This window comes from Homo sapiens, chromosome 13, assembly GCF_000001405.40.
Source record: "Homo sapiens chromosome 13, GRCh38.p14 Primary Assembly".
Lineage (NCBI taxonomy): Eukaryota > Metazoa > Chordata > Mammalia > Primates > Hominidae > Homo > Homo sapiens.
The window spans coordinates 108,808,079-108,823,507 of NC_000013.11; the positions used below are offsets into that span (position 1 = coordinate 108,808,079).

At 35.7% G+C, this 15,429-nt stretch overlaps 1 protein-coding gene across 5 annotated transcripts in view; it reads left to right on the plus strand.

Moving 5' to 3' along the window:
* MYO16 (myosin XVI) overlaps nt 1–15,429 on the plus strand; it is a 712,290-nt gene that overhangs the window by 312,363 nt on the left and 384,498 nt on the right. For all 5 annotated transcript variants that reach the window (XM_011521062.2, XM_047430183.1, NM_015011.3 and 2 more), the window contains exons 8-9: nt 12,259–12,334; nt 15,047–15,200. In XM_011521062.2, the coding sequence (XP_011519364.1) occupies nt 12,259–12,334; nt 15,047–15,200 (230 nt within the window). The remainder of the gene's footprint in view (nt 1–12,258; nt 12,335–15,046; nt 15,201–15,429) is intronic.

Genomic DNA, 15,429 nt, shown 5'->3' on the forward strand with positions numbered 1-15,429 from the left:
CAAGGCAGAAAAAATTAGATTCTGATTAGAATCCAAAATTCTGATTAGAATCAGAAATTTTATCCCTCAAGCCATCAGATGAAGCTACTGACCTTTTTCTCAGAAATGCATAGACACAAAAAGTATCCCTACAATTTCAGAGGTTGAGTCCTCTATGAAAACTAGGCATAGACCTTCCAGAGGCCCATAAGAAACCTACAGAAATAGAACCTTCTTCTTTGCTTTTTTTTTTTAATGAACCTTCTTTTTTTAATAGAACCTTCTTTTTTTTTGCCCAGGCTATAGTGCAGTGGTGTGATCTCAGATCACTGCAACCTCCGCCTCCTGAGTTCAAGCAGTTCTTGTGCCTCAGCCTCCCAAGTAGCTGGGACTACAGGCGCTCACCACCACGCCTGGCTAATTTTTTCTATTTTTAGTGGAGACAGGGTTTCGCTATGTTGCCCAGGCTGGTCTCGAACTCCTGACCTCAGGTGATCCACCTGCCTCACCCTCCCAAAGTGCTGGGTTTACAGGCGTGAGCCACCATGCCCTGCCAGAAATGGAAGCTTCTATCCAGGAAATTATGCTTCTAGTAAAGCTATACTATATAGTAAGAATTGAGAGACAAGATCAGCCAGATAAAATTTGTGTTATGTGGTAAAAAAAAATCTGTAATTAGTTTGAGTGATGAAAATGGATTTTTAAATGTTAATTTATATAGTTAGATTTAACAATTAAAAAAACCCTTTAATGATTAACATATATGCCACACATGATACATGCCATGCGTCAGTGGTAGAGGAAACATAAGCCCAATCTAATTGTCACTTCTTTCAGAAACCTTCCTAGAGAATCCTGTCCCTCAAAAGTCATAAGACACAGGAATCACCAAATGATAAGGCAGAGAATTAGTGGCTATCAGTGTTATTACCTGCCTTTACCTGTCACATTCCAAAAACTTCCCAAACTTTTTAAAATCTGTTCTTTCAAATTAGAGAAACACAGTCATGAACTCACATGACAACTATGCTGCAGAAGCCATGTTGACTTTGTCAGATGCAAAGGAATTAAGATTGTTTTTATTACTCCCTCTCCAGTGTGCCTACTAGGTTTCCAACATTCATCATTTATTCGTGATAAGTCAGTTAAGAAACACTTCCCAACTACTTCATTTCTTCAAAACCAGCTACAAAACATTTGACCTGAAAATTTAAGCACACCGTAGCTTTCATATACTTCCTTCTATTTTCTCACGCATTTGATTCTGCTTATTTAAGGGATTGCATTAGGCAGTTTTTGCATTGTTATAACTTCCTGAGACTGGGTAATTTATAAAGAAAGCAGGTTTAATTGGCTCACAGTCTGCAGACTGTACAAGCATGGCTCTGGCATCTGCTGGGCTTCTGGGGAGGCCTCAGGGAGCTTTGACTCATTGCAGAATGTGAAGCGGGAACAGGCACATCACACGGTGGAAGCAGGAGCAGAAAGAGAGTTGGGGGATGTATGCTTCGGGCGGGCAGCAGATGCCACACACTTAAACAATGAGATCTTTTGAGAACTCACTCATTATCGTGAGGACAGCACTGAACCATGAGACATCTGCCCCATGACCCAATCACCCCCAACCAGGCCACGCTTCCAACACTGGGGCTTGCAATTCAACATGAGATTTGGTGCAGACAAACATCCAAACTATATCAGGCATTATGCCAGCTTTGTTGTGAGGCCTCCATGGCCTTCTCACTGGAATAGAAAGGGCCAGCGCTGGGTACCAGCCCCACCACTCACTGACTGTGGACTCAACAAGCCTTGATTGTTCTTTTTCCACAGAGCCCAACCTTGGGGCCACCAATTATTGAGAACCATAAACATCTATAGAAAGGGGAGACTTTTACTTAGTTCAGCAGATTTTTGCGAATCATGAAGATGAATGCCTCGTGTGTGTATGGATCATCAGTCAGCACGTGTCCTGATCCATTGATGGTTGCTTGATTGGTACAGACAGATATCTTACTCAAAGGTTTCCAGAAATGGCCATTTACAATGTGCAGATGAGGCAGGTTTTTAAAACACATTATTTTTATCCTCTGCTTCGCTAGACTTGCCTTTAATTTTCTAACTTCTGATACATTTTAGTACTGAGGAAAGTGTCTGAAGATCGTATGTCTTTACTACTTTGTTCCATTAAGCCTACTCAAGTAGTGTCTCCACTGGAATGCACGCTTCAGAATGACAGACTTTGAGTTCTCCACTGTGCTAGCCCATTGTCCAGCACAGTGACCGAAAGACAAAGGCAACCAACACAGAATCAGGTGCAAAACTGGAAATATTGAGTGTAGATGAGGCTTTTGTTTCAGAATATAAGGCATCAAAACCAAGATACTCTTCTTTTACTCAGACTGAAAAAACAACTGGAGATTTATGATAATAGAAGATTTTCAGTAAATTGCATCTCAATTATTTCACCAAGAAAAATAGTATATGACATCTAGAATTATTCTAAAAAATTGTTCTCTCAAAAAGATGTCATTTAGTATGCACTTCGGAAATTATATTTTAGAAACAGGTTTATTTGAATATCAATTTATATGCATGGAAGATTTATAACTCTCTCTGAAGAAATTTGCTGTAAATATATTGTATCTGTGTTTAGGGGAAAAAGCGTTAGAAATGTGAACATTTTAGAGAGACTAATGGCATTTTTAGAGACATTCACAGTAATTTCACTCTTATAAAGACCTTATAAATGTAAATACCTTTATGGAGAAGGAGGTAGCTCACAATCTATAACTGTACTTATTATTTACATTTATAGTGGGATGATGTACATATTTTAAAACTGCCTTTTATAAATATATTAACTTTTGCAATGGAAAACAAAAGAGATGCTTGTTCTTTCAAAAACTAGGAACTGAATAAATTATGTGAGCAATAAGTCTTTTGGTTTTACAACTCTTTCGTGAGTTGTACGTGAAGTAAAATTTCATTCTAGTCTTGTATGTATTTACTATATTTAGTATTTACAACAGAATTGGCAATACTACACCCAAAGATAAAAAAATATTTGTACAAATGCTGGAATCTAAGTATTTTTGTTTCCCAAAGTATTTTGTATGACATAACTCATACATCTTAATGTTTAAAAACCCATTTTTATTCTCAAATACATTTTTACCCAAGTGTATAAAAATTAAGCTATATTCAGAACTTTAATTTTTTTGTGATTTATTTCTTCTTTGCTTTGGGGAAAACAGTCTGGTTATGCCCCTACCCCTCTGACCAGGGAGTATTAACAAGCTTCATGTGCCATCCTAGGCTCCTTTTTGATGTTTGCCATGTCTTTGAGAAATATTCTCACACCCTCAGCTTCAAATGCTGTCTACATGCTCATGGCTACCCAAGCCTCCTCTCTGTTCCTCTCCCAAATTCTGCATCTGTGTATACCCAGGGGCTGTCTCTTTTTTTCTGTCCTCTAACACCACCTGTTTAAAAAAAAAAAAACCATCATCTTCTCTTTCCCATCCCCATCTGTTGCTCTTCTGTTTTGTCATTTGTTCACCACAAAACTAATCCTTTGCCATTTTCCTACTTCTCTCTCCTCTCTCATGCCTAACAGAACACTGAGCCTACAAACTCCTACCCAGTGGACTGTGTCGAGATACTTAAGCTATAATCACCACCAGTCAATCTGTGCCTCCTCACTGCCTCTCCCCTCATCCAGGACACTAGCATCTCTACATCTGGGTTAACCCATCAGCCTCTAACAGGTTTTTATCCCCCTCCCCCACTCTTCTGTCAATGACGAGGCTACAGTAATCATTCTACATGCAGACATAGTCATACTGTGTCAACACAGTATCCTTTCCATTGCTGTTGAAATAAAATACTTATTCCTTAGCACCATTTATAAGTCCCCATGTGTCAGAGGCCCTGCTTAGGTCTCGTGTTTTATTTCTCCAGCCTCACCCCACCATATGTGAGGTTAAAGCTATACTGAATGTATCTTCATTTCTAGAATGCACCACCACATATAGCCTATTCTTTGCTCTTCCTGAAATTGTTAAATTTTACCTTGCACGGCTACATTGAGATGTCACTTCACTGGCCGTCTTTCCTAATGCTCGGAATTTGCATATGATGGTTCCTCTCCTGTCCCTGTACAAGCACCCTGCATATCCCGTATCATAAACACAGCCTTACCACAACTTGCGGTAGTTGTCAGTTCATTCATCTGTATCACCTTTTAGTCTGTAAGAAGTGAATGCAGGAACATTTGTTTGGCTTGTCAAAATATCATCATATCTCAGACAGGAGCCAACACAGAATACTGGCTAAGTTACTATTTATTTAATGAGAGAATCAATAAATGCCCTAATGATCACTGAATAAATGTGTGAGCAGTAGGTGAGTGCGCACGCCCCTTGAGACTGGTTCTTGCAGGAAATCATCCTGGAGATTTCCATGAGAAACCCAGGCACATGCAAGGGCTTTGGTAGCACTGGAAATAATTTGCATTTGGGATGTATTACTAAAAGAAATCATGCACAAATGAAAGGGATTTCAACCAAAGGCAATATCTTGTGAGCAACACCGTATTTAATGGTTGCTATGTGTCTCCCCAAAATTTGTGTGTTTCAAAATTAATCCCCAGTGCAGCAAAATTAGGACGTGAGGCCTAATGAGGGGTGTTTAGGTCATGAGGGTTTCACCCTCATGAAAGGATTAATACGACTATAAAAAGAAATTGCAGGAGTGTTTCTCTCTCCTGCTTTTCCACCATGTGAGGATATAATGATCTTTCCCTCTGGAGGGTGCAACATTTAATGGGGCATCTTGAAAGAAGAGAGACTAAGGCCTGCTGGTGCTTTGATCTTAGACTTCCTAACCTCCAGAACTGTGAGCAATAAATTTCTGTTCATTATAAATTACCCAGTCTCAGATATTCCATTATAGCTACACAAATACAACTATGACAACTGTATAAAAGGAAAGTTCCATAAAAGGAGACTGAGGAGGGGTTGGACACGGGCAGAGGAGGATTATGAGATTTGCGAATGGAAATAAAAGAGGAGTGTTTCAGAAAAGAAATACAAGGACAATTACATGGAAAACTGCAGTGATTAGAAAGTATTTATTTTGTGGTATGAGGGCAGAACTGTTTGGTTAATAAGAAATCATAGTTGAATCATTAAAAGTAGTAATGTATTAGACTTTCTAAAGTATTAGATCTGAAATAGTTCACATGGTTCTCAGAGTTAGAGACATTTACTCATTGCAATGTAGAGTATGCACCATTGAGCTTAGGTATATGTAATTCAAGTGGGGTATGCAAGTACTGAGTTTCTGAGAGACTTTAACATTATATTTTCCTCTTTATTAAATTAAATCAATCATTTTTAGCTTCTGAACTAGGAAGGAATGAGTGCTGGCTCCAAATACTCACTGCTATATTTTAACTTTTTAAAGAGATACTTTCACTCTCAAGAAATTAATCTTGATAAATTTAGCCACACTGAAATACAACTATTTGAAGAATAAGTAAAGTCTATATCCAGTAACTAATATTAATTCAAATTTCAGCTTAAATACACTTTCTTTGTTAGCCACTTAGTGTTTCCTTTTATACAGACACACAACACATACACACTCTCTCTCTTTCTCTCTGAATATTAGTCACCTTAACCTCTGATAACTTTGCTGATTATGAAATTCTTTTAATAGCAAAGATGAGTTGCAGTTGAACAGCACACTCTACCTGCTCACATTTTAAGTAATTTACCTAAAGATGTTTTGTGAGGTTAAAACAGATGTTCCAGAGTAGAGTAATTGGAATTAGCCCTGGCCTGCTTAATTCAGTTTTGTGAAGTGCCTCAGTGATTTCTAATTGGAAGCACATAGGAAATATTGACTTTACGAAAAGAAAGGAATTCCCCTAGTAGGAGAAACTTCCTTATTTCACACATGAATGTTTATTTTTACAGGCCTGAAATAAAATGGAATTACTTTTAGTGTTAAAGATTTTCTTGTGGGAAACATTTACTTTTATGATTTAAATGCTTTCCGCAGTTGAAGCTGTAGAGAACAGTAGTTTGTTGGGAGATTGCACATGATTTTATTTGGAGTTCTATAAACAGCAAATTGAATTTAGTAATGCAACATAATTATTAGACTCTCTGATACTCTAACCTTTTTGCAAAGATATAAAAGCTTTAGCATTATTGCCATTCTTTCAAATTTGTGGAAAACAAAGGCAATCTTAACTAATTTTTGACTTTCATTGTTTTTCTTTTCTTTCTGAATTTCTCTTTCCCTTCCTTCCTCCTGCCTTAATTTTTCCCTACCTTACTCCATATTTTATTTTTTTGTTCTTTCATTTTCTTCTTTCCTTCCTTCCTTCATTTCTGACATATGATATAAAAGCAAGAAAATGCCTCGAATCTTTAATATAAAGCAATACTCATTTTTGCAACTATTTTAATGTCCTGGGAACCTACAATATATATTTTATCTTTCAGATTTAAAGATAGCTTCTCTTTCTTTAGCAAATGATATATTTGGAAGTCAAAATAACTTCTAAGTATAAGCACCCTGCTATAACATGAATAAGTACTATTGAAATAATTTGTGTTCTGCAAAACCAAACACTAATTTTGAATGGGCCTGTAGGGAATCTAGCAATAGGGCATACTATTGAAAACCTAATTATTTTTATAGTGAGAACACTGGCAAGAGCCATAATTATTTAAGGAGATCTCTTGGAATGCCTGGGCAAAATGCTCAGCATGAATGAAAAATGCCACAGAAAATGTTACAAACGCAAACAAACAAACCCCACCGCAGATTGAAGAAACCATTGTCATTCTAACAAGTAAAATAATGCAAGAAATGAAAATGAAAGGCAAGGTTAGGAAAGGAGAAAGGATAATGAAAATAGCAAAGAATCTCCAAAAAACTTTAAAAATTAGAACTGTTAAGTGAATTTATCAATTTTTTTACAGTAGTGTTACAAGCATAACATAGATAGTAATATGTTTAACAAATAATGTGCAATATTTGTACACTTCACACTACAAAATGTTGCAGTGACAATTGAAAACTTATGCAAATAGAGAGGTAAGCCACACTCATTGATATGCAGTTGTCATTGAGACACTGAATATTGTTAAGGTATCTGGGAAGGCAGAATAGTGCCCCCAACGATGTCCATGTCCTAATCCGCAGAACCTGTCAATATATTACAAGGCTAAATAAAGAACTTTGCATTGTAACTAAGCTAAGGATCATCAGCTGGAAAGATTTTCCTGGATTCTCTAGATGGGCCCAGTGTAATCACATGGGACCTTAGAAGCAGAGCCTTGTTCTTGGCTGAGAGACAGAGGGAGTGTGACTGTGGAAAAATGGTCAGAGACATGCAATATTGCTGCTTTGAAGATGGTGGAAGGGGAGGGACCATTAACCAAGGAATGTGGGTGACCTCAAAACTGGAGAAGCCAGAAACAAATTCTCCCTTATAGCCAGAAAGGAACATGTAACCAGAGCCCTGGTGTCAGCCCAGTGATACCTGTGTCAGACTTCTGACCTACAGAATTGTAAGGCAATACATTTTTATTGTTTAAGCCACGAACCTTGTGGTGATTTGTTAAAGCATGTCAAACTAATATAGTAGCTACCTATTTAAAACAATCCCAACCTAAAGCCTGGCAGTATTTTTTATAGAAATTGGAAAATTCATCCTAAAAATTATGGAATGCAAAGTACCTATAATAGACAAAATGTTCTTGAAGGAATAAGACACAGACTATTTTCAAGACTTACTATAAGTCTTCCACTTGTAAGATTTCAAAACTTGCTATAAATCTATACACATAAAGTTGTTAGGTAATACAGCAAGGGTACACCAGTAGATCAATGGAACCTAAAATATAGTGGCTACAAATGAACATAACAAGCCAGTTGATTTCCTATGAAAGTCTCAAGGCAATTCAATAAGAAAAAATGGTCTTCTCCAAAAATGTTGCTGAAAAACAAATGGTGCTGGACCGTCCGGGCCTTTACATGGCATTCACAAAAACTCACTTGAAATGTACCACAAATATAAAAGTTAAAATTATAAAGCTTTCAGAAGAAACTATAGTATAATATTATGATGAACTTTGAGTAGATAAAAATAGGTACAGATATTGTACTTAAAAGAAAATAAATAAAAGTGTCTTTCTGCTCATCAAAAGACATTTTTTTAGAATATGACGAGGCAAGCCACAGAATGGGATGAAATATATGTAATACTAAACTTGAAAAATTAAAAGAAATTAAGTTTACCGTTTAAGTTTACGCTAGAATGGGCATGAAGTAGCGCCCCCCACCCACCCCAAGTAAGAGTTAAGAAAAAATATTAACTGCTTCTCTGTAAGGTCTGTGCAGCATTAACCATATCTCTCCCCCACATATTTTGTAAGTTCTGTAAGCTGTTTTTCTTGCTGTGCAACCGCAAGGTCACACGATCCATAAGCATGAGTTGCAAGATAAGTTTCCCAATATGTCAGCTGAGTCCTAAGAATGTCACCTGATAATTAACTACTTTGTTCTCGCTTTTGTAAGCCAGCTTCCTGCATCATGTAATTCCCGCCTCAAGGTGCATAAAAGGTGTTTGTTTTCTTTGTTTGCTGCTCAGACTTTCAGGATGCCTGTCCGCTGAGCCAGTGTACACCTAAAATATGCCCTCCTGAACACCACTTGGTCTCTCCAGTCGCTGATTTCCCACTACAATACATATATCCGAAAAATTCATCCAGATCATATAAAAATGCAGATAGACTAATAGTAAAAAGTTAAACAATGCAGTAATAAATGGACAAGAAATTATTGAGTAGACAATTCACAAAAGATGGTCATTAAGCACATGAAAGTGTTCAATGTCACTAGTCATCAGGGAAATGTAAATTAACCTACGGTGAGATAGTACTTCAGTGGCTAAAATTGTTTTACTATGACAATATCAAGTGTTGGAGAGCATGTGGCAAAATTGCCAGTGAGGATAAAAAAAAAATAGTAAAACCACTTGGTAAACTTTTCTGGCAATTTCTTATAAAGTTAAGTATACACTTACCAGATTACCCAGAATTCTATTTTAGAATGTTCAAAAGAGAAAAATGAAAAACTACATTGACTGAAATGACATATGTCTATAGTAGCCTTATTCAAAGAGCCAGAAACAAATGGCTCAACTCTCAAGAAGAAAATGATGAACATATTGTAATGTAGTTGTACAGTGGACTACAACTCAACAATGAAGAGAGAAAGTGTCAATGCATGCACAAGCATGGACGAATCTCAAGAATATTATATTGGGCAAACATATACATTTCTGTGTTTTATTTATCTGAAGTTTAAGAATAGACAAAACTAATCTGGGGTGCTATAAATCACACTGTGTTTTCTTGTATGGGATGAACACTGACCACAGTGGGACGGGGGGAACTGTTGGTGATGAGAAATGTTCTATATCTTATTTGTGGTGCTGATTACACAGGTACACACATTTGCCCAAATTTTATAACTGTGCGCTTATTAGTGTCCATTTTATTGCCTTTAAATTACTTCATTGTTTAAAAAAAGAATATTCGTAGAAATACAGCTAAGACGGCTTCAGTGTCCAGCACAACACAGTTGAGGTCTTTTAATTTTATGATTTGACTTCCGTTGTTTTGACTCCTCTTGCCTAGGAAAAAATAGTACCACCAACGTTTATCAATTGAGTATGAGCTACTTTGTATTACAGAAACACACATTATTTCAGGACTTACTATTCTCTATAAATCAAAAAGACATACAATGACCATTTTAAAATATCTGGAACAGAATCATAATAAAAAATTGCTTTTTCTCTGTCCCTATTTGAGACATAAAGAAAGTGGTGGTAATTTTCACTTGATGAAAATTTACAGCCTTTAAGGTTGCATAGCAACCTTAAATGTCTATATTGTAAAAGACAAGTTTGAAAAATAATGTTACAACTTACAAAGTTTTTAAGACGTTAGTAAAACAGGCCAGGCTCGGTGGCTCACGCGTGTAATCTCAGCAATTTGGGAGACCAAGTCGGGCTGATCACTTGAGGTTAGGAGTTCAAGACCATCCTGGCCAACATGACAAAACCCCAACTCTATTAAAAATATAAAAATTATCTAGGTGCGGTGGTGCATGCCGGCAATCCCAGCTACTCTGGAGGCTGAGACATGAGAATCGCTTGAACCTGGGAGAAGGCGGTTGCGGTGAGCCAAGATGGCGCCACTGCACTCCAGCCTGGGTGAGAAAGTGAAACAACGTCTCAAAAAAAAAATAATAATAATAAATAAAAATAAAAAAGAGAGAGATTAATAAAACAAACACAATAATAAATAAAAATAAAAAAGAGAGAGATTAATAAAACAAACACAGAATGCATAAATGAGAATATAAAACAGATAAAAGTCAAAGTGATTGAACTGTTAAGCAAAAATACCATAGAAAAAATCAACAATACCTCAAATTGGTTCTTGTAAGCATTAATGAGATGAACCAAGTTTTGGAAATATTGGTCAGAAAGATGGATAGGGCATGCATAAAATGACTGATAGTGTGCATGCAAATGGAAACATAACTACACAAACAGCACAGCTATTAAAAAGAGAATAAAAGGAAAAGCACAATAAGAAGATATAACCAACAACATCATGCCAGCACATTTGGAAACTTAGGCAAAACTGGCAAATCCCTAGAAAGTAATAACTTTAAAAAGCATAATATAAAATCATACCAAAAAGAAATCCAGGAGAAGCCTGCTCCATTTTCAAAGCAATGTGCCATAAACCACAATGCTCTATTCTTTTACACCCAAGAATTTAACAACAAGTAAATGCCTGGTAATAAAGCTATTAAGTAGAACGTAGAGCAGCAGAAAGCCTTGTTAGGAGTAGGAGTGTAAATCTGAGCAATCTCTTGGAAAAAAATATATTAGCACTATCTAGTCACTTTGATGCTGTCCAAACTGATATCCCAGCAATTTCATTTCTAAGTACATATATCCTGAAGAAAGTATTGTATGTGTGCACCAAGAGATATAAATGAGAATACTTATGGGAACATTATTTGTAAAAACAAATAAATGACTGCAAATGGCTTGAATACTCACTGGGAGAAAGGTGGATCAATTGTGATATATTTGTACAATACTATTCCATGCAGCCAAAAGAATGAGCCTTGGTTAAACCCATCAAGTCTGATGACTCAAAAATTTCGCGGTAAGCCATGAAAACAAGGCCCGCAAGAATCTATACGATAGGATTTCATTTCTATGAATGTCACAAACAGGTTAAGCAATATGTTGCTTAGGGATACTTTCATATGTGTGTGCTAAGCATATAGAGAAGATATTAATGGTTAGCCGAAAAGTCACGATAGTGGCCAACTCTGGGAAATAGAGAGAAACATAGTTTTGGGGAGAAACACATGAAGATGTCATTAAAAAAAATGTTGAGTACATATTTTTAAAAGTGGAGTATACAGAAATTTATTTCATTATTGCCCTTTCAATAACACATGTATATTATATATACCCTTTATATGTGTGATATATTATAATAATTTAAAATATATGTTAATTTATCAAGTCACTTAACTCTTAGAACTTGAGACTGCATTTTTCTAATGGTCCAATGTGACTTTAGGTTCCTGCTGCCCATGTTGCTGTCATAGAGCAACAATGCCAACAAGTTAGACTTCGATGAATTGCTCAATTAAAACAGAACAAAACACACTATACCATATAATTCCTCACATAAGGAGTATAGCTTATGTACTTTCGGGTTATATTATGGCATATAGTCTACACTGTCCTGTTGTACTTTGTTGTATTTTGCCTTTCACGTTTTAAAGTTTCAGTGTAGTGATTCATTCAGTGTAACTTACTTTAAAATACATTTTTACTGTTATGTAACTAGTTTCTCATCCTAAAAATACGTATAATATAAACCTGAAAGTTATAAAGTGTCCTTTTCAAATCTTCAGTGATTAAATCCTTATTGGATAAATAATTTTTGTTCTGAATCCAGAAAGGGCTGAAATAATTTGAGTATCTGACATTTTTAGAAAAGGCACTGGGAAAGGGGACAGGAAGGACTTCTGAGTGGGAATGCTGATACTGTCTCATGCCGGCTGTTAGTTGGACAGCACAGTGTATGACTTACTGATGTATCCTAGCTTCTGCCATGGTGGTTCCCATTTCAATTATCTTTAATATTTCAGACAAATCTGGTGAAACTTCTCCTGATGCATCAGGCAAACCCACACCTCGTGAACTGTAATGAGGAGAAGGCGTCAGGTAGGTTAGGAGCATCCTTGGACCATTGAGCAGGTACTGTTTTCTTCCTTTCATATTGGAGTAGCCATCCATCTTCAGCACAGCTACAAAGTGAGAGCTGGACATGCCTGTGAAGCTGTGTAACAACCAGCCCAGTTCAAGCACAATTCATCATCGCCTATGTACGATGATATAGGCGATGTGAATAGCCTCCATTGCAAGAGGCTATTCACAGTTTAATCTACACTGTACTGTTGTACTTTGTTGTATTTTGCCTTTCATGTTTTAAACTTTCAGGATAGTGATTCATTCAGTGTAACGTACTTTAAAATACATTTTTACTGTTATTTAACTAATATCTCATCCTACCAAATACATGCTTATCCGTTAAGGTATTTTTGAAAAATAATAGCGTTATTATCTGTGCAGATATTTAAACTACAAGAAAAATACAGAGGCTGACATTCTTATGCAAATTTAAAACTTTGAAAATCTTGACTTAATGTTACTTATTTTTTAATAAATATATTTTTGAAGATTTCTAAAATTATTTTAGTCACTGACCTTTTGTATATTCATATACTTATTTAATAAATGGATGCTACATTAATTTTGTGGCTTTCAAAATTTAACAGAAAGTTACTATTCATAATTATTTTTGCAATAGTAAAAAGAGTTCTGAATAACAAAGAGAAAAATCTAGCATAGGTAATACCATAACATCAAAATATTGAAGACAGTAATTGATCTGAATAACTTTATAAATACATTATTCCTCTTGCTATACCTCTGCTGACTTAAATGTACTTTACTTTTGAGATTTGTCATTTGATATACTTTCAGGAGTATGAATTTCTAATAAATCTCCAGTTAAAGCCAGAAGAAGGGATTTTTCTCTATTTGTTATTTATTGGAATTAAGTATCATTGTCTAATGTTTATTACTTCATCTTCTCTGTTAAACTGAATATTTACCAAACAGAAATTTTACACAGCTTAATAGTCACAAACTTGAGAATCAAGCTAATATTACTTATAGTCTAGTAATCTTAACATTAACTATATTAGTATGCTAATGATAAATATCAAAAGAACAAATAGACATTTTTAGATATTTTCTTTTTAAAAACGTGTTTACTGTGAGTACAAGTCACATCCTCGGCTAACTCTAGTCTGGTTCTAACAGTAGCTCACACTTTTCAAGTTCGTATTCCTGGCTTATTTCCCAGACAAGGGAGGATATGACTGACCTTTGACTACATGGACTCCCATGGCATACTCTCACCATTTAGGTCTAGTGTCATTTCAAACAGATGTCCAGGCATGGCAGTTGACAATCTTAGGAACGGAGGCAATGAATGCACTTCTGGTCTAGACTCAGCACTGGTCATCTCAGCACAGTGCATGAGGACTCTCTCAGGCAACTTTTACCACATTGGTCATGCAAAGTCGACCAGCAACCTAGTACCTTATTCATGGCCTGTTGGCAATATGAGACACAGTGCTGGGCCCATAATAGATCCTCAGTAAAGATTTGCTACTTGAATAAAAATACTTTTATCACATGCAAAACGCAAAGAGTTATAATGCAGTGAAAGGTTTCAACTAAAGCAGATATGCCAATAATCTAGGCAGCAAGAAGATAAAACTAGATAAAACCAGATGCAAGAATAGAGCAGAGAACAGTAAACCAGAAACCCATGCTATAACTGAGCAAATGAAAGTCGTCATCAGTACTATAGTATATTGCTGTTATTTTATGTTTCTTGAATTTGGAATAGATTTATGAAAAAAATCTGTGGGAAAAACAATTTGTTAAGTGGGACATAAATTTAATCTCCCAAAGTAAGAAAGCTGAGCACTCACCTACTTTTTACATGTATATAATTTAATCTGAGGCAAATAATGATAAAATCTTTACATAAATATCTTCTTGTGGCAGCTACATTACTGTGACCATCCCAGAAGGCCACATAACTCTAATTGATAGACATAGGTGGTCACACAGTCTGGTCCTGACGATTGAGAAGAAGCAGCTGCCTCCAGTAGGTTCTTAATTGATATGAATGTTGATTTTTTCCTCATGATCTGTATCAATTTCTATATCAGTAATTGTTGTTAGTATAAACTTGATTGATACATAACTATGTTGCTGCCCAAACGTGTTCAGATGTTACTGTTATGTGTAATTTGTAAGGAAATATATTTATTTATATTTGCAATTGATAAAGGTAAAAATATTATGGCTAGAGGGCAGACCCCTTGTTTAAATAATACAACTGAGTATTTACTTGTACAACTACCCATTTAGTAGAATGTTTATAGGAGGCCAGTTACATGCTTTATAACCCAGTTGATGGGAAAGTGTAACTCTTTCTGTAATTTTGGTTCATAGTCGCCAAGATGCAGGACAAGTTTTACTGAAAATGAAATGACATTAAGTTTGCTCAAGCTTAGATTCTCAATGATTTTTTATTTTACATATCACCATCCAGTCTATACTATTTTCTATTTCATTTATAATTAAATGTGTCACTGATGTAAAACAAAATAGTCTTTTAAAATGACAGTACTTCAATTTTATCCCAGCCGTAAACTTTTAAGGTTTTTTGTTTTGATTCATACATTGATAAATTTTTAGCATTTTAAGCATATCGGAATTATTGAAAGTAAATAGATTTATGTGCTATCACCACCCATCATTTTTCTGATTTTTCTTATTTTTTTCTTGTAGATATTGCTGCCTCTGAGTTTATTGAGGAAATGCTGCTGAAAGCCGAAATTGCCTGGGAAGAAAAAATGAAAGAGCCTTTATCTGCTTCTACCTTAGCTCAAGAAGAGCCCTATGAAGAGATCATTCACGATCTTCCCGTACTGTCGAGTAAGCTGTAAGTGTCTTCCTGCTTATTCTCTTTTGCCATCTTCTCTACCTGCTGGTCATTTTAGAGCCCATATTAAGTCTGACTCTCAGCCAAAGAGTTAGAACAATTAAAATGGTTTATCAATGTATATACCAAAGAATACTTGTTTACAGTGATGAGTTAAACATAATTTTATTTTATAAAAACCCTCTGATTTAAAAACAATCTTACTATATCAGTTATTAAATCAATTTCA